The 27,536-nt window shown below is 36.6% G+C and overlaps 1 protein-coding gene across 3 annotated transcripts in view, besides 1 other annotated feature; it reads right to left on the bottom strand.

Annotated features, from left to right (window-relative positions):
• The window catches only part of IL1RAPL1 (interleukin 1 receptor accessory protein like 1), a 1,369,273-nt gene that overhangs the window by 290,272 nt on the left and 1,051,465 nt on the right, over window positions 1–27,536 (bottom strand). The gene's annotated exons all lie outside the window — the stretch shown is intronic.
• Window positions 3,472–4,671: an enhancer, noted in NCBI's record as "P300/CBP strongly-dependent group 1 enhancer chrX:29679893-29681092 (GRCh37/hg19 assembly coordinates)". NCBI's record gives its function as "activates an origin of replication core promoter dependent on BRD2, BRD4, P300/CBP, MED14 and CDK7 cofactors, with strong dependence on P300/CBP, by STARR-seq in HCT116 cells {active_cell/tissue: HCT116}" and the evidence as "EXISTENCE:reporter gene assay evidence [ECO:0000049][PMID:35650434]".

The following is a 27,536-nucleotide window of genomic DNA, read 5'->3' as shown; positions in this document are numbered from 1 at the left end:
TGTGTTCTCTAACATGGTATGATTTTCACCATGCCCCTCTGAGTAGGTGGAGTTTGGGGGTGCCCACTGGGCTCAGTTCCCTGCCTTGTTGTGCCACCCATTCCTCTTTGACAAAATTAGTTCTGCTTTTATTTTACCTTATACATCAGTATTTCACCCAAGATGTTGACCAAACAAATCCAATTCAATTCAACTGATATATATTAAACAGAATAATGTGCCAGATATTATGATACAGGGTTTGGAATATCTTTAGTTTCTGTCCTTATACCTTACGGTGCTTTGTAGTTAAAAAACTTTAATAAAAATTTAAAAATAAATTTTAATTTAATAAAAAATATTAATAACTTAAAAAAAAACTGGACTGATTCAACTCTATTATTTTAGAGATCAAGGATCTGAGGTACAAAAAGATCAAAAGGCTTGCCAAAAATAACAGAGCAAATTCAAACTAGAATCCTTCCTAGATCTTTTCCTCCCCATTCTTTGTTATGTGCTCCTTGGAAAATTCTGTCAAGCAAATATTGCATGGGTCTGTGCAGTCTCCCCTCAAGGTGTGTGCAATCTGTTACAAGACTGGAAACATGCAACTAAATAATCATAACCTACGGCAGAGAGCTCTTGCCATGCAATCTGTCATCATCTGTAAGTGTCATGTTTTGGTATTATCATGGGTATCAGTTGGATACATTTCTCATGTGATTTGCCTGTCTTTGATAGAAGTGAAGGGAAACTTCCAGAGACCACAATGGCTGAGCCACTGATTTGACACATTGGCAAAATGACTGTGAAAAGGAGGTGACTGCTAAAGCTAAGATGTAGCTCAGTTCTACAGTCACTTGAGGGTGACCAATTTTGCTGTCACAAAGTCACAAAGGAAGAATATGAGCTGAATTTTCCATTATTTGAATGTTTCTGGAACATTATGGTATTTCATAAATATTAGTTGGATTAAATTGACAGAACACAGAACTGGAAAACAAATGCAGCTATGGTAATGGCCAATCAAGATGAACATACACACAACCACAAAAACCCTCTTTATTTTCTGCACTGGCAAAGGTGAAACTAGAAGGAAATTCAAACAAATTACAATTTTAAAAGAAACGTTCTTAGCATTAGACCATGACTAAGCCAACTGGCTTTTTATAGTTAAGAAAACAACTTGTGTTACGAAGACATTTCTCTCTTCCTTGAAAACACCTATACACACATATGCACACTCACTCACAAATGGAAATCACTTTGAAAACTAAACAAAGTGTAACAGTAATGATATGAAGCACAGGGTAATTTTAAATCCTAATCATATTTTGTCCACAAAAACCCACAGCAATTATAGTAGAGATTTTTCTCTCACTAATTTTGCATTAAACATAGCTTTGTATTCACCAACAAAAGTATTTTCAAGACCTCATTTTATTCTTCAGAACATCCTATTAACAACGGTAAAGCTCTATAGACATTTAAATAATAACAGACCTCTCTTACAGAGTTATTAATGTCTCAGTTGACAAAGCTTCTGCATAATAGAAGGAACATTTTAAGGACACTAATTTTTCTTACTAGCTACCAGTTAGAGAAACATCTAGAAGTCAGAACACATGAAGATGTGTACAGGATTGATTCCCTATCTATATTAACTTTTCCTGAGTATTCATAAAGGGATACAGCCTCTCCCTCTTTTCCCCATCCCTTTTACACTTGAGCTATGGAACGGTAAAAAGTAAAACACTATCTTCCTAAAACAAATATGACAACACCAGGGTAAAGAGGCCAAGATTCTTGAGTCTTTTTAAAGTTCTTAACGTGGAGAGAAATGTGAGGTGTCTATAATACATGTATCTTTCTCTGTTGAACAATCACGCCTTTAAAAGTTAATTTTAATCCTTCACATACTAATCCCTCAAATACTATTGAGAATATTCGATACATTTTGGATATCTATACTTATCCTACCATAAAATGTTTCTTTCAAAGTCATATATAATTTTCATAATGTATTTTAACTAGTTCCCTTCACTTTTTTTTTTTTTTTTTTTTGAGACGGAGTCTCGCTCTGTTGCCCAGGCCGGAGTGCAGTGGCGCGATCTCCGCTCACTGCAAGCTCTGCCTCCTGGGTTCATGCCATTCTCCTACCTCAGCCTCCCGAGTAGCTGGGAATACAGGTACCCGCCACCATGCCTGGCTAATTTTTTGTATTTTTAGTAGAGACGGGGTTTCACCGCGTTAGTCAGGCTGGTCTCGATCTCCTGACCTCGTGATCCGCCTGCCTCGGCCTCCCAAAGTGCTGGGATTACAGGCGTGAGCCACCGCGCCCGGCCCACTTTGTTTCTTAGAAGCATTGTGGTAGAGTAGGAAAGATTTCACACAGTTAGTGTTCAAGGAAACAGGTCTAACAGTTCCTGATTCTGCCTTATTTGTTTGGCAAGTTGGATAAATTACTTAACATCTCTTAGTCTCAGTCTTTTTATATGGAGAATGTGACATAGTCTTCCTGCATGAATTGTCGTGAGGATTTAATAGGAAAACAGATTAAGTTCCTGCATATAGTAGACGGAAAATAAATCTGTTCTAATTATATCCATCAAAGTTTGGGATAATAGCATTTAGCAGCCTATATAGCCTGACAAGAAAAATATTACTATTTGTGAAATAATGAACTGGACATCCAACCAAAGGATCAAAAGGGGTTTAGACCCTGATTTAAGAATCATTAACACTTTCCACATTAGTTTCCATAGCAGGGGGATTGATCTATACTTAACAAATCAATTCAACAAAAATATTCTAAAGACTTTTAAATATGCAAGGCAATGTACAGGACTATAAGGGGATCAAATGTAAACAAAACATAGCATTTAGTCCTGAAAGAGCTTATAATCTAGATAATTATAAATACCTCCATAATCCAATTTCAAAAGCATTTATGAAGGACCTAAAATAGTCAGTACTAATTTAGAGATAAAAGAATGAGTAAGACATAGAGTCATTCATAAGGATGTTCATAGATGAGAGCATATTTATGATGCACTGTGGCGAGTGCTATACTCAGAGATAACTTTTTGGTGACCTCATTTAAATCCACCAACTAAAACTGGTCACGAAAAATATTCACAGATTTATACAGCTGACAATAAAACATGCTTTGTGCAATTGCACTGACTCACTCCATTTTACAATAGGTTGTTTGTGCATTTTTTTTTAACTTAAAAGAATTGACAAACAACTGCCTGTGTTCACAGATAGTCAGGGGAACTTGGATCACCCATAATGCTTCAACCTCTGAATGACTCAAGAGTGGAATTTCAGTTTTGCTTTCTTTGGCCTGGAATGTTTAAACATTAGTTTCTAATATTGGAGCATACATCTTGTGAGAGCTGTAGAATGTAAACACAATCTCATGGTCCTTGCAGAAGAAGGAAATGGACAGAAGAAAACATCAACATTTACTAGGTGAATCCACTTGGGGTGAAAGGGGTGCTCTATTTTTCACTTATCTCTAATGCTTTGGGGTTGGCAACATTTCTCCTTTCTGTTGCAAATAATTGTGGTGACTAACCACGGAGTCATGGAGCCTCAGGAGCCTCAAAGAGTGAGGAGTGACTAAGCAACTGAACAGAAAGGTGCGGGGAGGTCAGTTGATGACTAAACTAACAACATATACAAGGTAACTTAAGAGTCATGCCAAGGAGACAGAACAAATACTTCCAAGGAAGTAACTCATAATATATCCATCAAAAGACATGTATTTAGGAAAGCCAAGGAATTCATTTGGCTAGCTTTGATACTTAGTATTTTGTTCATTTAATTTGATAAGTGTGGTTTGTAATTAAACTATAAAAATATTCATTTATTCATTCAAAAAATATTTTTAAAATATTTCCTCTCTACCAGGTACTAGGGGCTATAATAGTGAACAAGACAGACAAAACTTCTGCTTTCATGAAGCCTGCATTCCAGAGAAGGAGATGCAAAATAATCATATAAATTGATACACACACAATATAATGCCAGGTGATTATAAGTACTATGAAAATTAAAGCAGCTAAAGAGATAGAGACTAATGTAAATGCTATTTTAGAAAAAACTGTCAGGAAAGCTTGCTCTGATGATCATTTGGAACATATCTGTGAGAAGGGAGGAAGTGAGTCATAGCAAAACCTGGAGGATGTTTATGCCAGGCAGAGGGAAGAGCAAGTTCAAAGGTGCTGAGATGGAGTATACTTGGCATGCTTAAGAGAGGGCAAAGAATGCCACTGTATCTATAATGATGTAAAAAAAGAGTGACAATGAATTCAAAGATAGCCACTGGCCAATGCAGGAAGGGCCTTGTAGAACATGGAAAGGACTTGGGTTTTATTTTAAGTATAAGAGGAATGCTTTGGAGAGTTTTAAAAATAAGAGAGCCCCAAGTAGCATTTGTACCAGAGGTATCACTCTGGCATTTTGGTGTTCAAGTCTGGGAGAATGAAGTGGTGTGGAGGCAGAGAGGCAGAATGGAGGCAGGAAGGCAGGGAGGAAGATGTTGAGGCAGTCCACTGAAAGGCGACGGCACAGTGTTGGTGGTGGAAGTGGTAGAATTTTTTTCCCTTAAGTATCTATTTGGTAAGTAGAACTAACAAAATTTACTGACTGACTAGATGTGAATTATAAACGAATGTTCATGAGTTAAGGGGCATGATCCCTAGTTATGAGCTTGAGCAAACACATGAATGGTGGTACCATTTAACCATATGTGGAGACAACATAAGAGAAGCAAGTTTAGGGTGGATTAATTATCCAGAGACAAGTTTTTATAAATCAGTTTAGTCACCTCTTTTTATCCATAAGGCTAATTTTACTATTCAATGTTGATTTATATTTCAAAAATGTAAGGCAGTGACTGATGACTCATCTCCTTGTGATCCCCCAAAGGGAAGTGGTCTTGGAAAGTTTCATATTTTAGGCTAATGTCATAGTCATTTATTATGAGATAAGCTCTGGCTAATCTCTACTATCCTTCACTTACTGAATAGGGAAACACTGAAAGCCTTTCCACTCAGATCTGGAACAAGACAAAGATGTCCACTTTTACCACTTGTATTCAACATAGTACTGCAAGTCTTTGTAAAAACAATTAGGCAATAGAAAGAAATACATGGCATTCAAATTTGAAAGAAAGAAGTCAAATTATCCTTACTTGCTGATGACACGATCTTATACATAGAAAAATCTAAAAACTCCACCAAAAAACTCTTAGATTTGATAAATGAATTCAGTGAAGTTGCAGGATAATAATCAACATACAAAAATTAGTAGCATTTCTATACACAAATAATTAACTAGCTCAGAAAGAAATCCCCTTTACAATAGCACAAAAAATAGAATACCTATGAATAAGTTTAACCAAGGAGATGAAAGATCTCTACAAGGAAAACTATAAAACACTGATGAAGAAAGTTGAAGAGGATGTACACAAATGAAAAGACATCCCACACTCATATCATACATTGGAAGAATTAATATCATTAAAATGACCATACTGCCCAAAGCAATTGACAGATTCATTGCAATCCCTATCAAAGTACTAATGTCATTTTTCACAGAAGTAGAAAAAAGATCCTAAAATTCATATGGAACGAAATAGAGCCCAAGGAGCCAAAGCAATCCTAATCAGAAAGAACAAAGTTGGAGGCATCACACTACTTGAGTTCAAATTGTACTACAAAGCAATAGTAACCAATACAGAATGGTACTGGCACAAAAACAAACACATACACCAATGGAACAGAATAGAGAGCCCAGAAGCAAACCCATGCACTTACAGCCAACTCATTTTTTACAAAGGCACCAGGAACATACATTGGGGAAAGGATAGTCTCTTTAATAAATGGTGTGGGAAACATGGATATTCATATTCAGAAAAGTAGATACCCATCTTTTACCATATACAAAAATAAACTCAAAATGGATTAAAGACTTAAATATAAGACTTGAAAGTATAAAACTACTAGACAAAAACATTGGGGATATGCTAGGGGACATTGCTCTGAGCAAAGATTTTTTGGTTAAGACCTCAAAAGCACAGGCAACCAATGCAAAAACAGATAATTGAGATTACATTAGGCTACAAAGCTTTTGCACAGCAAAGGAAACAGTTAACAAAGTGAAGAGACAACCTACAAAATGGAAGAAATTATCTGCAAATGATCTACCTGACAAGGTGATATGGTTTGGCTCTGCATCCCCATCCAAATCTCATGTCGAATTGTAATCCTCAATGTTGGAGGAGGGGCCTTGTGGGAGGTGACTGGATCATGGGGGCGGACTTCCCTCTTGCTGTTCTCATGATAGTGAGTGAGTTCGCAGGAGATCTGGTTGTTTAAAAGTGTGTAGCACTTCCCCCTTCGCTGTCTCTCTCCTGCTCTGCCATATGAAGATGTGCCTGCTTCTTCTTCACTTCTGCCTGATTGTGAATTCCCTGAGGCCTCCCTAGCCATGCTTCCTGCACAGCCTGCAGAACTGTGAGTCAATTAAACCTCTTTTCTTCATAAATTACCTAGTCTCAGGTAGTTCCTTATATGAATTCAAGAATGAACTAATACACACGGGATTAGTAAGTAGAATATATAAAGAGCTCAAACAACTCAACAGCAAAAATCTTCATCAGAGAAATGCAAATTAAAACCACAAATAGCTGTAATACCAGCTACTTGGGAGGCTGAGGTAGGAGAATCGCTTGAACCCGGAAGGCGGAGGTTGCAGTGAGCTGAGATCGCGCCATTGCACTCTAGCCTGGGCAACAAGAGCAAAACTCCGTTTCAAAAACAAACCAAAAACAAAAACACAAACAAAAACCACGAAGAGAAATTTCAGCCCAGCTAGAAATGCTATTTATTATCAAAAAGACAAAAAATAACAAATGTTGGAGAGGCTGCAGAGAAAAGTGAATGCCTGTACACTGTTGGTGGAAACGTAAAGTAGTACTGCCATTGTGGAAAACTCTATGGAGTTTCCTCAAAATAATAAAAAGAAAATGTGGCATATGTACACATTGGAATACTATTCAGCAATAAAATAGTATGAAAATCTGTCATTTGCAGCAAGATAGATGGAAAGTCATTATATTACGTGAAATAAGCCAGGCACGGAAAGAAAAATATCACATTTTCTCACTCATATGTGAGAGCAAAACAAGTCAATCTTATGAAGGTAGAGAATAGAATGGTTGGTCATAACAACTCTATTTCGTTCCATTGGTGTATGTGTTTGTTTTTGTGCCAGTTCCATTCTGTATTGGTTACTGTTGCTGTGTAGTACAATTTGAACTCAAGTAGTGTGATGCCTCCAACTTTGTTCTTTCTGATTAGGATTGCTTTGGCTCCTTGGGCTCCATTTCGTTCCATATGAATTTTAGGATTTTTTTTCTACTTCTGTGAAAAATGACATTAGTACTTTGATAGGGATTGCAATGAATGTGTCAATTGCTTTGGGCAGTTGAAGAGAAGTTGATTAACATGTACAAAAATATAGTTAGATAGAAGGAATAAATTCTAGTACTCTATTGTACAGCAGGAAAATTATAATTAGGAATACTTTATTGCATATATCATAATAGCTAGAAGAGAAGAATTGTAATGTTCCCACCAACATAAAGAATTGGTAAATATTTGAGATGAGGGCTATCCCCATTACCCTGATTTGATCATTACACATTGCCTACATTCATCAAAATATCACATACACCCCAAAATGTGTATAACTATGACACATCAATAAAAAGTATACACCCAAATTTATTTTTTGACTAATACAATCGGGGTCCTGCTTATCCAAGTTACTAAGAACAATTCTCCAGCACTTCCTTAGTTCACTGATGTGTGGAACATATTTAACTGGCAAATTGGATATAATCATGATTTAGTTTTTTCTCATTAAAAAATATTTATTATGAAGTAGTGTCCTAACACATGAGTTACGGAATTTACATTTCGTTGCTGTCCAACATCTTGATAAACCTCCAAGGTAAAAGAAACAATGAAAATACTCTATTCATTATTTTCGTCATAGAATTACTCAAGAATACCAAAGGAAACCGTGGTCAACATGGAGATAATGTTAAGGTTCAGGGTCTCTATTCGTTTTTCACCTTCTACATTTGTCCTTTATGCCACAGCTTTCATTGTCTTCAGCCCTGTTTGATGCACCAAGACTCACGGCAGATCCCAGAACACATTTAACCACCCACTAAACCCTGATTCTGACCAAATGAGTGGAGAAAAACATGGAGGGTAAACAAAAGAGAGTACGACTAGATGTAGAATAAATAAAGGTGGTTCAATATTTTTAAATTTCACTTTTAAAACAATTACTGCAGTAGATTTTGCATAAATGTTGTGAGGATGAATTCCAACTGATTGCATGACTAATTTCAGCCATTTTAAATAAATTTGTGTATAGTTAATGCTAAAGAAAAAATGGTGAGAAAAATGAAACAATATATAATTATTGAGATAAATGATGATGAAGCATAGGAAAAGGATGCTGATTGATGTAATAGCTATAATCAAGTAGGTGAGCATGCCAACTACTGTTTTCACTTCTATTGACAGGCAAAAAACCAAAAAAAAAAAAAAAAAACAGTCACTAATTATCTTCTAGGAACAATAGTCTATTCCAAGAAATTATGTATCCTGTGAGGGAAAGCATCTCTAGCAATGAGGCAGTATGCAAAATGATCATAGCATATCTTTTTTTCTTCTTTCTATTAGCAGATAAAAGGCCTTCATAAATGAAAAAGGATAAATCCCAAGTTATTTAGAAATGCTTATCAAAAGAAAATTTTGGAACACAAAAAAGGCACAATGTCACTGCGAAAGTCAGAACATTTTAAATAATCTGCTTGTCTCAGGATATCACAAAGACATTATATTTCTAAAGTATAGTATAATGTAATTTAATGACCTTCCAGATTATATTGAGTTGGTTTACATATGCTTGCGCTTCTGCAGAAGGTATTTACATTTCTTGGTATTCTGTTTGTGATACACAGTCCTGCATGATTACTCATTGGCATGGTTTTATGACAGTGGTTCTCAACTGAGATCGTCACAATTGGTAGGGGGTGTTACTTGACAATGGACGCTGCTAAAGATCTTACGATGCACAGGAAAGACAAACGCAAGAATTATCTGGCCCTAGATGTTAATAGTGCTCAATAATTCCGAGGTTGAAAAATTCTGCCCTATGATAACCACATATTAAAAGTGGTTTTATTACCTATATTTCAAACAGAAATGGTCAGGAAAGTTCAATTTTCTGGTAGACAGAAAGCTATTGTTAACATGGAGCTGTTGATACATAGTGGTGGAAACTGCAGCCTGGGCTGTCATAGAGTGGACCACAGCCATGAAGGAAGCCATGAAGGGTTTAGAAACCTTGTACAGGCTTAGTACCCAGAAAGATCAGGTATGATAGGGTACGGGGAAGAGATGCAAGGCCAAAATGAGAAGGACTGATGAAAATCCATATAAAGAATGAGTAACCTACTCTTTCATCTTCCAAATCCCCATATGAAGAATGACCACCACCACCATCTCTTCTCCCCACACAAACAACTGAAAATCAAGAGGTTCTTCTCTAAAAATATTCAATAAACCACCTAATGTAGAATAGCAAAGCCATTCCGGAACTTCAGAAATAATTCCAATGTATTTCCAAACATTTAGCTTATGACACAATTCACAACTGCAAAAATATGGAACTAGCCTACATACCTATCAACCAATGAGTGGATAAAGAAAATGTGGTGTATAAATATATATATATATATAAAATGAAATACCTACTCAGCCATAAAAAGGAATGAAATAATGGCATTCACAGCACCCTGGATGGAGTTGAAGACCATTATTCCAAGTGAAGTAACTCAGTAATAGAAAACCAAACATTGTACGTTCTCACTTATAAGTGGGAGCTAAGATATGAGGACACAAATGCATAAGAATGACATAATGGACTCTGGGGAGTTGGGGGAAGGATGGGAGGGGAGTGCGGGATTAAAGACTACACATTGGGTTCAGTATACACTGCTCGGGTGATGGGTGCACCAAAATCTCAGAAATCACCACTAAAGACCATACCCATGTAACCAAACACCACCTGTTCCCCCAAAACTATTGAAATAAAAAACATTTAGTTTTTGAAATATTACAGTTATTTCATAGCAACAGCTTCCTATATACTAATATACTTCAGTTAGTATGGAAGTTATTGGCAATTACTGAACATATATTTACAAAAAGAAGTTAGCCTAAAAACCATTTTTTTTGGTAACTGTCAATAAATATTTAACGGCCCTGGCCAAGGATTAAAAACAAAGTAGCCCATGCAATATATCAATCTATCATTAAATATTGACATAACACCCTCTGCTTAATTTCACTGACAAAACATTAAGTAGATGTGTTGTTGGCTAGAACTCTCAGCATAAATTTAAGGCTTATAAGATACAAGAACATAAATATAAGATCACAAGTAAGCATATGCATAGGGAAAATTAACATGTTTTGGGGTGTGTGGTTTGGGGTGTGCAGTAGGGAAAATTAACACTTATGTTTTGGGGTGTGCGGTTACGTTACTTTATTTAAAACTGTCAGTTTGCTACAAAGGAACAGACATAGAAACTTCAAAAACAAATGTCCAGTGAGGACAGAAGCCAGAATTCAAACCTACCTCTTCTAATTTTAATGGTCACATACTTCAAATATTTTCTATTTCGGTAGTTTGCTTTTTTTTTTTTTTTTTTTTTTTTGGAGACTGTCACCCACGCTGGAGTGCAGTGGCATGATCTCAGCTAACTGCAACCTCCGTCTCCCGGGTTCAAGCAATTCTCCTGCCTCAGCCTCCTGAGTAGCTGGGACTACAGGCGCCCACCACCACGCCTGGATAACTTTTGCATTTTTAGTAGAGACCTGGTTTCGCCATGTTGGCCAGGCTGGTCTCGAACTCCTGTCCTCAGGTGATCCACCCACCTCGGCCTCCAAAAGTGCTGGGATTACAGGCAAGAGTCACCAGGCCCAGCCTGTAGATTGCTTTTTCACATTTGTGTTTTCCAACATGGTTTCTACTAGACACCATATTTTTCCTGATTATGAGCAATGCTGTGGGAGGGAGGTGGGAGAAACTTATTTAGATGAAGTTTGGAAACAAGGACAGAAAGTTTTGTGTAAATTTAATGTACTTCATTAGGACTAAGCTATATTTGACAATAGTGAAACTTTTACTGTAGGATTTGAAGAGGTTTGATCTGCTTGCCTGAACAGACTAGAAGAAAGGGTCATGTCTGTTATTGGCTCTCATAAGTAGAACTCTTTAATGATTACATGACCCAATGATGACATACAATTTGAGGCTCTCATTATGATAGTGGACTGAAAAAAGGTAAGCATTCTAGAAGCCCCTTTAATGCTGTAACCAAAAAGAAAGTGAATTTTAATAAGCATGGCCTCCACTGAAATTCAAGGTTTATAAATATAAAACTATTTTTAATTTTTGTAGTAATTACATAAAATATTAGAGATGTTCTTTAGAATGACATTTTATAACAGCCCAAATCTTATAAAAAAATTCGTATTTGCATAAAATATAGGAACATAAAGTTAACCAAATAACTTTAGTACTACTACAATGCATTTCTCTAGATGAATTAAATTTCATTGGTGATCTGTGTCTTTATGGGTAATGATACTGATATGGTTTGGCTGTGTCCCCCACCAAATCTCATCTTGAATTGTAGCTCCCATAATTCCCACATGTCGTGGGAGGAGGGACCCAGTGGGAGGCAATTGAATCATGGGGGCAGGTCTTTCCCATGCTGTTCTTGTGATGGTGAATAAGTCTCACGACATCTACTGGTTTTATAAATGGGAGTTCCTCTACACAAGCTTTCTTGCCTGCTACCATGTAAGATGTTACTTTGCTTCTCCTTTGCCTTCTGCCATGATTGTGAGGCCTCCTGAGCCATTTGGAATTGTGAGTCCATTAAATCTCTTTTTCTTTATAAATTACCCAGTCTTGGGTGTGTCTTTATTAGCAGCATGAGAACAGACTAATACAAATACTATATTTTTGTATATTAATATATTCAACTTCAGCACTTGCTTTAACTTTCTTGACCTCTGTCAATGATTAGGCTGCACTGGGAGATGATAGCACAGGTTTTTTTTGATATTCTGTGCATCTAAGATAACCTCTTTACACTTGGCACCCTGAAATGCCAATATAATAGTAATATAAATATTGTGCATTAAATTGAAAAGCTACTTTAATTTGGTGGCATTACTGCTTTTAAAAAAAACCTCCAGATAATTAGCCTCTCTCACTTCCTTTCTTTTTTCCTTCTTCCTCTCATCCTCCCTCAATCCACCATTTCCTTTCATCCTTCCTTTCTTACCAAGAAGTATAGGTGAAGGCAGACTGAAAACAAACATTTTATTTATTCTATCCTGGATACAGCCAAAAAATAAATAAATAAATAAATAAATAAATAAATAAATAAATAAGAGCCCTAATTTTCCATTCATTCTTTTGTTCAACAAACAGAACACCTATAAGTTACTTGCCTAGATCATCATTACTTTTCTCTGTTTATACTAATTGTTATGATTCATTTAACTAACACTGTTGGAGGAGTCAGTTTATGCAAACAATTATTTAGCAAATAATAATCTCCCACCAGAGAAGATTTCAAGTAGCTTCAACACTCTAAAAGCTTACTAAAGAGGTCCTATGGTGATTTTCTATTGTTTCATAAAACAAGTCTATCACAAGTCATTAAAAACATGATTACTACCAAAAATAAGAGGTACAAGAAAGAAAAACATGCCTATAAGCAATAATATCAGGCACCCTTTAAATAATACTTGCTATCCAAATTTAACTATGCTGTGAATATTCTTATATTACTTTTGCTATCAGTACGTACCCAAGAGTTACTTGGCAACAAACAGAGGTTAATCATTTCAAGCATTGCAGGAAAAATCTGCAAATTTGTTCTTAGTAGCATTGAACACCACTCATGTTGTCAAAAGAAAGGAAAACAAAAACAAAAATAAAACAAAACAAAAGCCTGTTACAAACAACAACACATGCAAAATGTTAGAAATTACTAAAGCTTGGTGATAAGTACATAGGGTTTCATTATGTTATTCTCTCTACGTTTGTGAATATTATAGCTAAAATTGTCCATACTAACAAGAGTTAATTTAAAAAATATCAGTGCTATGGATATGAAGACTTTGGTAAATTTTTGAGAGGTATAAATAGTGCATACCTATACACAGTATCTACATCTACATCTGTCCATATACTGAAGTATACATTGTACAGTTAGAGCCAAGTTTATAACAAGAAATGGAATTACATGGAATTGCATCTATGCCAGCCCAAAGCAATACCATGGTCCTATTTGCCTGGCAAAATTTGTTTCTATTACAGCTCCACATTTCTTTGAATGTGATAAGTAGCAAAGACATTTTTACTTTAGGGTAGAAGAATAGAAAAGCACTAATACAATTCATCAGTGAAATACTACTGAGTTACAAAATATCCCAAATCTTAGTAGCTTAAAATAATGGTCACTTATTATTGGTCATAGGTCTCCAAGATAACTGATCAGGGCCAGGCTTGAATGATCTTTGTTTTACTCCCTTATGTATCTGTGGTTAACTGCAGGTCAAGCATGTGGCTTTGCTCATCTTGGCTGGGCTTGCTCACATTTTTTGCATTTTAACAAGCTAAGACTTTTACTCAGTAACAGCAGAACAATGGTTTGTAAGCAAGAAAGTAATGTGATCCGAATTGAATTTTTTTCATGCTCCTGTAAAGTCTGGAACTATTCTCAAGCTGCTACTAATCAAGCACACTGAACATTTTACCATTTCCCCAATTTACCACTTTCTTGGAATCATTTAGAATGCCCCTCCTTTTCTTCTAGAATGCTGTATCCCTCCTTAAATCCTAACCCATCCTTCCGTATCCCTCCTTCTTAAATCCTAACCCATCCTTCCATGACTACCACAGATGTCAACTTGTAGGTTAAACTTTACTAATTCTGGGACTCTTAAACACAATCTGTTTACCTCTGTCCCGCCTTTAAGAGGCCAGATTGTAACTTTTCCTTCTACACATTTAACTTTCCATTGAGATTGTAAACGCACTAAGAATAAATTTCTAAACTTTTATTTCCCTGGATTTTAGTGTTTTTCATAACAGGTAAAACAGAAGATATTCCAAAAAAATTTTTTGATTTGACTAGTCAAGGAAAGATTTAATTGTATTTCATGCATTCTATTTTAAAAGGCAGTAATTGTGTGCTTTTTTTCTGAAGATCTACATTAAAAACTGCCATTAAAAATAATTTTTGATGGCTAATGAGATATGCTTCAGTTACTTTAGAAAACTTATTCATCTTGAAAATACACTACAGGAATTCAGAAAAATGACTATTAATACTCTTTGAAAAGTATCTTTTCTCATTCTTTCTTTTTCAAATTAAATTGACAGATAACATTGTATGTATCTATCATGTACAACATGATATTTTGAAGTATATATCCATTGTAGAATGGTTAAATCTAACTAATCAACAAGTGCATTACCTCACGTAGTTGTCATTTTTGTGGTGAAAGCACCTAACATCCAGTCTCTGCATTTGTCAAGAATACAATGTACTGTCATCAATGATAGTCATCATGCTGCACAATAGATCACTTGAACCTATTCCTTCTATCTAACTATAATTATATATCCTTTGCCTAACATTTCCCCAACACTCCCATCCCAGCCACCCCAGCCTCTGGTATCCATCACTCAAAGTTCTACCTTTTTGAGATGAGTTTTTTAGATTCCATACGTCAGTGTGATCATGTAGTACTTGTCATATTGTGCCTGGGATCTTTCACTTAAACTTATGCCTTCCAGATTCATCTATGTTGTTGCAAATGACAAGATTTCTTATTTTTTTTTGGCTAAACAGTATTTCATTGTGTATCTATATACATTTTATTTATCCATTTATCCATTGATGGATGCTTAGGTTGATTCCATACTTTGGCTATGGTGAATAATGCTGCAATATACATAGAAGTGCATATGTTTCTGACATACTCACTTCGTTTTCTTTGGATATATACCGAGGAGTGGAATTACTGGATCATATTATGGCTCTATTTTTAATTTGTTTAAGAACCTCCATACTGTCTCCATAATGGCTGCACTAATTCACATTCTCACCAATAGTGCACAAGGGTTTCCTTTTCTCCACAATCTAACCAAAACTTATCTTTTTTTTTTTTTGACAATAGCCATTCTAATAGGAGTGAGGTGATAGCTCACTGTGGTCATGATTTGCATTTCCCTGATGATTAGTGATGGTGAACATTTTTTGACGTACCTGTTGGCTATTTGTATGTTTTCTTTTGAGAAATGTCTATACCTGTCTATTGCCCATTTTTAATGGGTTATTTGACTTTTTTCTATTGAGTTGTTTGAATTCCTTATATATTTTGTATATTAATCCCTTATCAGATGTATAGTTTGCAAATATTTTCTTTCATTCTATAGGCTGCTTTTATTCTATTGATTTTTTCTTTTGCTGTGCAGAAGCTTCTTAGTTTGATAAAATTCCATTTGTCTATTTTTTTTGCTCTTGTTGCCTCTGTTTTTGAAGTCACATCCAAAAAATCATTGCCCAAAACAGTGTCATGGAGTTTTCCCCCTATGTTCTCTTCTAATAGTTTTACACTTGTGGGTCTTACCTTTGTCTTTAATCCATTTTGAATTGATTTTTGTATAGAGTGAGATATAATAGTCTAATTTCATTTTTCTGCATGTGGCTATCCAGTTTTCCCAAAACCATTTATTGAAGAGACTGCTTTTTCCCCATTGTGTATTCTTGGCAGTTTTTGAAAAAAAAAAAATGAGTTAGCTGTAAATGTGTAGATTTATTTCTGGGCTCTTCATTCTGCTTCATTGGTCTATGTTTTTATGCCAGTATCATGCTATTTTGGTTACTATTGCATCACAGTACATTTTGAAGTCAGGTAGTGTGATGCCTCCAGCATTGTTCTTTTTGCTCAAGATTGCATTGGCTCTTTTGTGTCTTTTGCAGTTTATAAAACCTATTGGATTCTTTGTTCTATTTCTGTGGAAAGTGTCATGGGTATTTTGATAGAGATTGCATTGACTCTGTAGATCACTTTGAGTAGTATGGACATTGTAACAGTATTTATTCTTCCAGTTTGTGAATACAAATATTCTTCATTTATCTGTGTCTTCTTCAGTTTATTTCATCAAGATTCTGTAAAATGTAAAACGGCTACAGTTTTCAGTGTAGAGATGGTTTTCCCTCTTGGTTAAATGTATTCATAGGTATTTTACATTTTTGTAGCTACTAGAAATAAAGATTTTAAAATAATATTTCTTTTTCAGATAGTTTGCTGTTAGTGTATAGAAATGTTACTAATTATTATATGCTGATTTTATATCTTGCCACTTTACTGAACTTGTTTATTAGTTCTAAAGTTTTTTGGTGGACTCTTCAGGGTTTTCTATATATATAAGATCATGTCTCTGCAAACATGAAAAGTTTAGTATCTTCCTTTTCCATTTGGATACCCTTTATTTCTTTCCCTTGCCTAATTGCTCTGGCTAGGATTTCTAGTACTATGTTGAATAGAAGTAGTGAAAGTGGACATCCATATCTTGTTCCAGATCTTTGAGGAAAAGCTTACAACTTTTCCCCATTCAGCATGATGTTAGCTGTAGGTTTGTCACATATGGTCTTTATGGTCATGAGGTGCACTGTTTCTATACCTAATTTCTATACCTAATTTGTTGAGAGTTTTTATCTTGAAAGGATACTGAATTTTATTAAATGCTTTTTCTGCAACTATTGAAATGATTATGTGGTCTTTATCCTTCCTTCTGTTAATGTGATGTATCATGTTTATTGATTTGTGTATGCGAACTATCCTTGTATCCATTTGATGAATCTCAATTGATCATGTAAATAATATCTTTATGTGTTGTTGAATTTGGTTTTCTCCTATTTTGTTGAGAATTTTTGCATGTGTAAACATCAAGGAAATTGGCCTGTAGTTTTCTGTTGTTGTTGTGTCCTTATCTGTTTTTGGTATCAGTGTAATGCTGGCCTCACAGAATGATTTAGGAGGTATTCCCTCCTCTCCAATTTTTTGTAATAGCTTGAGAAGAATTGGTATTACTTCCTTAAATATTTGGTAGAATTCAGCAGTAAAGCCTGGGCTTCTATTTGATGGGAGACTTTCTATTACTGATTCAATTTTCTTGTTATTGGTCTGTTCAGGTTTTCTATTTCTTCATAATTCAATGTTGGTAGGTTGTATTTGTCCAGGAATATATTCATTTCTCCTAGATTATCTAATTTGTTGGCATATAATTGTTCATAATACTCTCTTATGATCCTTTGCATTTCTTCAGTCTAGGTTGTAATGTCTCTTTCTTCATCTCTGATTTTATTTATTTGAATATTCTCTCTTCTTAATCTAGTTAAAGGTTTGTTGATTTTGTCTTCAAAAAGCCTTTGCTTCATTCATCTCTTGTATTGTTTTTCTGATCTCCATTTTACTCTTTTCTGCTCTGATCTTTATTATTCCCTTCCTTCTACTAATTTTGGGTTGAGTTTCTACTTGTTTTTCTAGTTCCTTGCAGTGCAACCTTAGGCTATTTAAGATTTTTCTCTTTTTTGATATAGGCATTTATTGTTATAAACTTTCCTATTAGAACTCCTTTTGCTATATCTCATAGCTTTTGGTATGTTGTATTTCCATTTTTATTTGTCTTAAAAAATTTAAATTTTCCTTTTAACTTCTTTATTGATCAATTGCTTGTTCAGGGGCATGTTGTTTAATTTTCATGCATTTGTGAATTTTCCAAAGTTCCTCCTGTTATTTATTCCTAGTTTTATACCATCATGGTCTGAAAAGATACTTGATATTACTTCAGTCTTCTAAAGCTGGATAACACCTGTTTTGTGGTCTAACATGGGACCCATCCTGAATCATGCTCCATGGGCAGTTGAGAAGGATCTGTATTCTGCATCCGTTGGATGGAATGTTCTGTATATGTCTGTTAGGTCCACTTGGTCTAGAGTACAGTTTCAATTCAATGATTTTTCTGTTTGGATAATCTTTCCATTGCTGAAAGTGGGTTGTTGAATGCCCCTACTGTTACTGTATTGCAGTCTTTCTCTCCTTTCAGATCTATTACTATTTTCTTTGTATATTTAGGTGCTCCAATGTGATGTACATATATGTCTATAATCATTACATCCTCTTGCTGAATTGGCCCCTTTATCATTATATAATGACTTTGTCTCTTTTCATAGCTTTTGACTTAAAGTCTATTTTATCTGATTTAAGTATAGCTACTCCTATTGTTTTTTATTTCTATTTACATGCAATATCTTTTTCATACTTTCACTTTCAGTCTCTGTGTGTCCTTACCAGTAAAGTGAATTTTTTTATAGGTACCATATAGAAGAGTCTTGTTTTTTAATCCATTCAGCCACTCTATATCTTTGACTGGATAATTTAATCAATTTAATTCACAGTAGTTACTGATAGGTAAGGACTTACTACTGCCATTATTTTCACTGTTTTCGAGCTGTTTTGTAAATGCTTTTAAAATTTATTTCTCTTTTACTGTCTACCTTTGTGGTTAAGTGATTTGCTTTAGTACTATGGTTTGATTCCTTGCTTTTTACATTTAGTGTATCTATTATAAGTTTTTTGCTTTGTGGTTACCATGAGGCTTACAAAAACATTTTATAAGTTATTTTAAATTGATAACAATTTAACTTCGACCACACACAAAAAAATTGTTCACTTTAACTCCACACACACTCATATTTTGAATTTTTGATGTCACAATTTACATCTTTTTATATTACATGTACCATAATAAGTTAGTGTAGTTATTATTTTTAGTATTTTTATATTTTAACCTTCTTACTAAAGATATAAGGAATTTACACGCCATCATTACCGTATTAGAGTATTTTTTTTTTTTTTTTTTTGAGGCAGAGTCTCACTCTGTCACCAGGCTGGAGTGCAGTGGCATGATCTCGCTCACTGCAACCTCCGCTTCCCATGTTCAAGCAATTCTCCTGCCTCAGCCTCCCAAGTAGCTGGGACTACAGTCGCGTGCCACCACGCCCAGCTACTTTTTGTATTTTCGGTAGAGACGAGGTTTCGCCATGTTGGCCTGGCTGGTCTTGAACTCCTGACCTCAGGTGATCCACCCACCTCAGCCTCCCAAAGTGCTGGGATTACAGGTGTGAGCCACCACGCTCGGCCTAGAGTATTCTTAATTTGACTTTGTACTTACTTGTACCAGTGAGTTTTATACCTTCAAATGTTTTTGTGTTACTCACTAGCATTCTTTTCTTTCAGCTTGAAGAAGTTCCTTTGGCATTTCTTGTAAGACAGGTCTGGTGGTGAAGAACTCCCTTGACTTTTGTTTGCCTGGGAAGTCTTTATCTCTCCTTCATTTCTGAAGGACAGCTTTTCTTGGTACGGTATTTTTGGTGGGCATGTTTTTCCTTAATCACTTTGAAAATATCCCACTCTCTTCTGGTCTGTAAGGTTTCTGCTGAGAAATGTGCTGCTACTGCTAAGTGTACTGAAACTCCCTTTATTTTCTTTTTTTTTTTCTTGCTGTGTATATAATCTTCTCTTTGTCTTTGATCTTTAACAGTTAATTATAATATGACTTGGCTTTTATTTAAATCTGATTAGACTGAATCTGATTGGAGACCTTTGACCTTCCTGTAACTGGATATTTATATCTTTCTGCAGATTTGACAGTTTTCTGCTTTTCTTTCTTTAAATAAGCTTTCTATAGCTTTATATTCCTTTGTTTCCTCTTAAATGTCAGTGACTCATAATTTGCTTTTTCTTTTTGATACTATCCCCAAAGTAAGCTTTCTTCATTCCATTTTATTCTTTTTTCTTTTTCTCATCTTACCGTATATTTTCAAATAAGTTGTTCTCAAGTGACAGATTCTTCTTCTTGATGAATACTTTTGTTGATTCTCTCTGTTGCATTTATTATTTCATTCCTTATATCTTTCAGTTCCAGGGTTTCTGTTGAATATTTTATTATTATCATTTCAATTTTGCTGTTAAATTTATTGTACTGGTCACTTATTGTTTTACTCCTTGAAATTTATTATTTCTCTTTATTTTCTTGACATTTGTAGATCTCCCTTAAAGGAGGTATTTTGAATTTTCTGTTATGTAGTTCATATATCTCCATCTCTTTAAGGTCAGTCAATGGCACCTTATTTTGTCTATTTTATGATGTCATGTTTTCCTAATTATTTTTGGTCCTTGTAGTCATGAATCAATGTCTGTGCACTGAACAAGTAGGCCCTTCACAATCTGGTTTTGTCTGAAAACATCTTTCAGCAGTAAGCCTGTCCAGACATTTTGAAAAGGTTGTCCGGTATGGTTCCTATGCCCTTGAGCACTACAGTCATTGCAGTGCTAGGGAATTCCCTAAGCCCTAGACCACTGCAAATTATGCTGTACTAAGATTGGATTTGCGGCTGCTGAGCTTGGCATAGGGCTAGAATCCTATGGTCACCAATGTTGGTGCAGCATTGGAGTGTGCCTAAAGCCCGTGGCCACTGAGGCTAGCACAGCCCTGGGGCATGCCTGAAACCCACAGCCACTAAGGCCTGCCTATCACTGTGGGTTATTCACAGCTCAAGGCCACTGTAGTCAGCTGGCCACAATGCAGACCAAAACTTGATTCCATTTCATAGGGGCTACAGGCTCCTCTCGGGTGCCAAGTTGGTTCTAAAGGCTCCGTACATAGGTTTTAGCCTGGAGTCAGTGGTCATGGAATTCTGACTGATGCTAGATTTCATTGTAGCAGGCAAAGTCTTATGCTTACTTCCCTCTCTTTCCCCCAAGCAGACAGAATCTCTTTCCATGCTATGCTTACTGGGTTTGTGGAGGGGTGACAGAGGTAATAAAACTGTTTTTCTTGCCCTCTTTGATGCGTCTTTTCTTAGCATTACACTATAACCTAGTGCTTTGATTGCTCACCTGATTTCCTTAGCCCTGGTGAAGATGTTTTCATGCATGGATAGTTGTTCAAATTAAAGTTTCTTCAGGGAGACAATGGCTGGAGAGTCCTATTCTGATATCCTACTCCACCCTCCACCCCACTGAAAAATATTAGGTACCAGTTATTTGTATGTTTACAAGATAAATTTGTCATCCTTCTTTAAGAAATTTATGAACAAGAGTTAGTTTATTCAGTTATTTCACTCATCTCTGGGGAAAATATCTAATTGTTTTACTTCTCTTTTTGTCTAGTTATAATGTGAAGATAATCATTCACATAATCAACAATATGTAAAAACTGCCAGTGATTAGCCTAGCATTTGAGCTGGTGCCATAGGGCAAGACCAAATAAGATACTACACACAAGCAATTTACACTCTGATTGAATAGGCATGACCAAGAATTCAACAACATACGACAGAGGCTGGGCGTGGTGGCTCTTGCCTGTAATCACTGCATTTATGGAAGCCAAGGCAGAAGGATTGCTTGAGGTCAGCAGTTTGAGACCAGCCTGGCTGCCATGGTGAAATCCCATCTCTACTAAAAATACAAAAATTAGCCAGGCAAGGTGGCGCATGCCTGTAGTCCCAGCTACTCAGGAGGCTGAGGCAGGAGAATCACTTGAACATGGGAGGCGGAGGTTGCAGTGAACCGAGATCATGCCACGGCACTCCAGCCTGGTTGACAGAGTGAGCACGTGTCTCAAAAACAAAAACAAAAGAAAACAAAACAAAAAAAAAAACACATGATAGACAATGTTTAATAAAAAGATTAGCCATGTAGTCCTGGATATGGGTGATTTCACAGTTCTTAGTTAAAAGATAGAACAGATAGGATATAAATCAGAGGGCGAAATTCACGAATGAGGGACATGTATAGGTGCAGAAGACAATGTATCTGTTTGCCCAGGAAGGACCAAGACTTCTGGTCCACCATGCTCTTCCTCACACACTTGACAAAGAATTAATTCTTTTGTTGGTTTCCACTATGACACAGGAAGTAAGATGGTAGCAAAAAGAAAACAGGATTTGGAAATCAATAAGCCAAGCAAGCAATCTACAAAGCTGTTTTACTGTGTTTCAACTGTGTCTCAAGTGAGTACAAGGTTAATGGAGAACAGATTCCTTCATTAGATACCTTTAATAGACTTCTTTGTCTTCTTTATTTGCAATGGAAAGAACAAAGACTTTAGAGTCAGGAAGTCCTAGCTTAAAACCTTACTCTACTTCATTACAAAATTGTTTTATGAAAATTGCTTCACATATTTGAAGCTCAGATTCCTCATTTATGAGATAGGTATTAAACATATATATCTTGAAAAAATATATCTTGAAGTCCTGTTGTGACGTTTAAGTGAAATACCTAGTTAAGGTGGCGGGTATTACGCCTGACACACACAAAAAAATGTGTTCCATAAATGCTAGTGTACATTAATACTAATATTAAAGATTTCAATGCCTCCATAAGTAAGGCTAAAATGTACCTGAGAAGAAAGGTGGGATGGGCCATTCCAGAAAGAGGGAGCAGCATGAATAAAGAAACAGAGGTTGACTTGGTGTATTTTGAGGGCAGAGGTTAATGAGGCAGTGGAACACACTGGATCAGAGTCTCCTTGAGAAATACGATCAAATAGGCATCTCCACAACCATTGTATCATAAGAACTAACAAACAGAGGAATCATGAAGTGGAGGCCAGGTACTAATTATCTCTTAGGAGTAATTTATGAATATGCAATATGTTATCTAACTTGCTTTTCCTCATTGTAAATCGACGTTAGGTTGTAAATTTTGACTTACAGATGTACAGACTCCAGAATACTCTTGCTTGGATTAAAAAGTGCTATAAACAATAGCTAATTCCACAATGATTAACCTAGCATGAAAGCACTGCCAAACACAGCTTTCACCTCATCAATGACTGGCAGATCATCTAAGATGGAGAAGTGGGTGATAAACACCATATGGTCTATAGGACCCAAATGCAAATTATTAGATTGCTCCAGGCCCCATTAGAAGAACAACACAGACACCAGAATTCACCTAAACCCAATACAGTAAGACATACAAGTGTGACTTTGAAGCCATTTTCAGGCAACAGCACTGTCATTTGCCACATCGTCAAACAAAAAGAAGACAACAAGAGAAAAAGCGTACATAGCTAGCATCAGCCAGCTAATATCCAACAATGTTAGCCACATTAAAAAATGAGGTTTCCTTTGATGCCTTTATTCTCAAGTTAGTGATATATTAATTTAATTTCTGCCTGCTGGTACCACTGTGGGTTGTTAACACCTCAAATTAATATTTGTCGAGTCTGATAAATTGCTGAATTGTGCTTATTTTTCATCTTTGGTTCCTAATAGTTTATATAGTTTAGAGTTTAAATTCCAGCTGCACTGTGGTTACCTTATTGGAAGGAAGATCTAGAACATTTCCATGACTGCACAGATAGTTTAGTTAGGCAGTACTGGACTAGACTAACTCTCAACATTTCTCATGCCGTAGCACATAATGGAAATTATAATTTTTGTAGAGCACCCTGGAATACACAATCTTGTGGTTAGAAATGATTGGTCTAGAGCCTCCAGCTGCCCCTGAGAGCTTACAGGAATCATTGTCTGAGCACATTTGAAATCCATGTGGAGTACAGTCATGTGCCACTGCACATCCGTTGGGAAGCTATGCCTTAGTTGATATCCAATCCAATACTATTAGAGAAGGCAAGTGGCTTATTCTCTGGAAAAACAATTGCTAATCAGGTTTGGATTTCTAATGAAAAGGACAGGTAATTATAACACTGAGGAGATTTGAAAAAAGTTAAAACCCAAATGAACAGACATTATTGAGTGTATACCACAGGCAAGGCTTTTGCTGAGTATTATGACAAACACTAATATTGAATTTCGTGGTCCCTCTTCCTCTCAAAGAACTAGAAAACTCATGGAAAACAGAACAAAACTATCCCTCTCACTTCTGAAATCTCACTAAATCGTAAAAGAGAACGTTAGAAATATTAGCGCAGGGCTTTAATACAAAATAAGAGTAAGATGCCTCACTTCTCACTCATTGAAATATAAGACAAGGAGGAAAAGGAAACATGAATTATTTGGGGGAGACACAGAAGATGAGTTGCAAACATTACGGTTATCCTGAAAGTGGATAAAAGCAAATGGCAAGTCTAAGAAATTGTTAGACTTAACATGTTTGTGAACTTTCAAGTTTCTCTCCAAGATGTAGGAAATGCCTTTTCTTTATAGTGATTTTCAGATCACTAAAAACATCTGTTCTACCCAGACACTGTCACTATGGCACCAAGTGCTAGAGACCACACAAAGACTGGAGGGTGCAGCAAGATGTGCTTTTCACAATCTCAGTTTCCAGAATCATGTGTTTCATGGACTATTTAAGTCAGAGATGGAGACATGAGCTCCATGAGACCCTGGATTTTGAAAGATTTTTCCACTGAAGAGCTAAAGATATTGCAGAGGTAATTTCATTAAAATAAAATGTTCAGGGATTCTAAGCACAGTTTTACAGCTGGTGGAGATAGAGATAGAAAGAAGAGTCAGGTGAATGTTTGCACTTTCCACAGATGCTTATCAAAGCCCTTTGTGCACTAGGCACTGTTCTTGGTGCTGGAGAACTGGCAGTGAACGAAACAAAGCCTTCACTCAGTGGGAAAAGACATCAGGATTATAAAGTCCATTAAGAAAATATAGCAGAATAAGAGACCATTGGGAGCAGTGCTATATTTTATAAAGGCTGGTGAGGAAAGATCTTACTGACAAGGAGATATGGCCTTTGAGTGGGCATGGGCTTTAAATGAAAAGAGGAACCAGGCCATGTAAACACCTGGGAGAAGAGCATTCCAGTCATAGAGATGATCAAGTTCAAAGGCACTTAGGTGGAAACTATTCGAAGAGAAATGAAAAGGCCATTGAATACGCAGGTGAATGAGTTAAGGAAATCGGCTAAGGAAATAACAGAAGGATAAGCAAACAAGTATGAGACAGTCTGATCGCTTATGGTTTTACAGATGTGGTTTGAACCTTGGGATTGAAATTCACTAGTGATTTCCTTTGTTTGTTTGTTTGTTTGTTTGTTTGTTTGTTTATTTTGAGACAGGGTCTCACTCTGTTGCCCAGGCTGGAGCGCAGTGGCGCGATCGTGACTCACTGTAGCCTTGATCTCCTGGGTTCAGCTGATGCTTCCACCTCAGCCTCCAAATTAGCTGGGACTACAGATGCGTACCACCATGCCTAGCTAATTTTTAATTTTTTTTTTTTTAAGAGATGGGGTTCTCACTTTGTGACCCAGGCTCATCTCAAAATCCTGTGCTCAAGCAATCCTCCTGCCTTGGCCTCCCAAAGTGCTGGAATTACAGGTGTGAGCCACTGCATCTGGCCGCTGGTGATTTCTAAGCAGAAGATAATGTAATGTAATTTGTGTTTAAGGATTCCCTTTTACTGCCATGAGAAAGTACACTATTGGGAAAAGGAAGCAGGTTGACATGTTAGGAGGCAATTACAATCGTCCAGATGAGATTTGTCATTGGTTTGGATTAAGACAGCAGCAGTAGAGAGGTGTTCATGTACTGAATCCACTTTCAAGGTGGATACCTTGGGATGTGGGATACAAAGTAAGGGAGGGGTCAAGGATGATCACAAGGCTTTGGCTGGAGCAACCACAAGAATGGAGTTGCCATTTACTCCTGTGGGAAGATGGTGGGATGATAAGTTGGGTCATATATGGGTGGACAGATCAGAAATTTGGTTTTGCTTATGTTAAATTTCAGATACCTCATAGACATCAAAGCAGTGCTATTTAATAGGCAGCCGGATCTATGAGTCTGGGATGCAGGGATGACATCAGGGCCACAGACATAAATTTGGGAGTCATTAGCATTGCAGAGAGTATTTAAAGCCATGGGCTGAATGAGATCACTGTGGAGTGAGGGCCCCACTCTGGGATTGAACCTCCCTCCTCTCAGATGCTGACAAAGACACAAACAAATCAGAGAAATAGCAGTGATTACTGTTCAGCTGCCATACTACAATGCCAGGCAGCTGTGGTGCCCCTGGGTAAACACCCAAAGTAGCTAGTACTTAGCATTTTTTCAAAGTATTTCAGGAATCAATCTTTCTGACAGCCGTGGAAATGCACAGCAAGGCAGCCTTCCACATGAGTAAAAATGATGTGTGTGTTATCTTGTAGCATGACACCAACCTCCGTAACACCAGCTGTAGCCACAGTGATGTCTCTTCAGCTTCATTTCTTTTCATTCAACAGCTGGACTAGCGATCAAGAGAGGACCAAAAAGATGCCAGGGGCTGAGCATAATTTCCAAAACCTTTCTGATAAAAAATGCTTCTGGCTCAGAAGAGCCTGCAAAATACCAGGCCACCTATAATATACTTCCTGCCTTAAGACCCTGGCCACCCGCTGATGCATATCTAATACTCTGGGTATAAGGTATTTGATTTTTAGCCAGATGAACTGTCTTTAAAGGTTAGCTTTGACAACATGCGCAAGTAACTGACCAGCCAGTCCCTGTGGTATTGTGGACGTAAAATGAATGAAATAATCTTGCTTTTCTGCTCATCTGTAGGTGCTTGTGACTTTCTTCATGATTCCAAGTTAGTAAGTGTTCCCCAAGGCTGTTCCTGCCCTTCTTAACTACAGAATCATCAAAGCCATGCACAGATTGTGTATTCAGGCTTTAAAAAAAAAAAAAAAAAAAAAACTTTTAATTATGATGAAAAGACCACTCTGAAAAGTCAGTGCTATCATCAGCACATCTTTTGTATGTATGTGTGGAAGGGTACCTGAAACCAACTGTTTCAAAGTGCCAGGATAACTAGTCAGGTCTAACTGTGAAACACCACACTATGCATAGATTCCAGCCATCACTGGAATCAACCAGCTAAGAGAACACACTTTGTGCAAAATATTGTCTCAAAGGAAAGCTGGATAACAATCTAAGAGGACAATTAGAGCCAGGCATGTCTAGTCCTAAGTCTGAAACAGCAGAGAAAACTGGAAACAAACAAACAAAAAAAACAAATCTAAAAATTTTTTTAAAACCTGTTTTTTTTTTTTTTTTGAGACGGAGTCTCGCTTTGTCGCCCATGCTGGAGTGCAATGGCCCGATCTCGGCTCACTGCAAGCTCCGCCTCCTGGGTTCACGCCATTCTCCTGCCTCAGCCTACCGAGTAGCTGGGACTACAGGCGCCCACCACCACGCCCAGCTAATGTTTCGTATTTTTAGTAGAGACGGGGTTTCACCCTGTTAGCCAGGATGGTCTCGATCTCCTGACCTTGTGATCTACCCGTCTCAGCCTCCCAAAGTGCTGGGATTACAGGCGTGAGCCACCGCGC

This window comes from Homo sapiens, chromosome X (assembly GCF_000001405.40).
Source record: "Homo sapiens chromosome X, GRCh38.p14 Primary Assembly".
Taxonomy (NCBI): domain Eukaryota; kingdom Metazoa; phylum Chordata; class Mammalia; order Primates; family Hominidae; genus Homo; species Homo sapiens.
The sequence above is the reverse complement of the archived record's forward strand: the minus strand, read 5'-3'. Positions and strand labels throughout refer to the sequence as shown.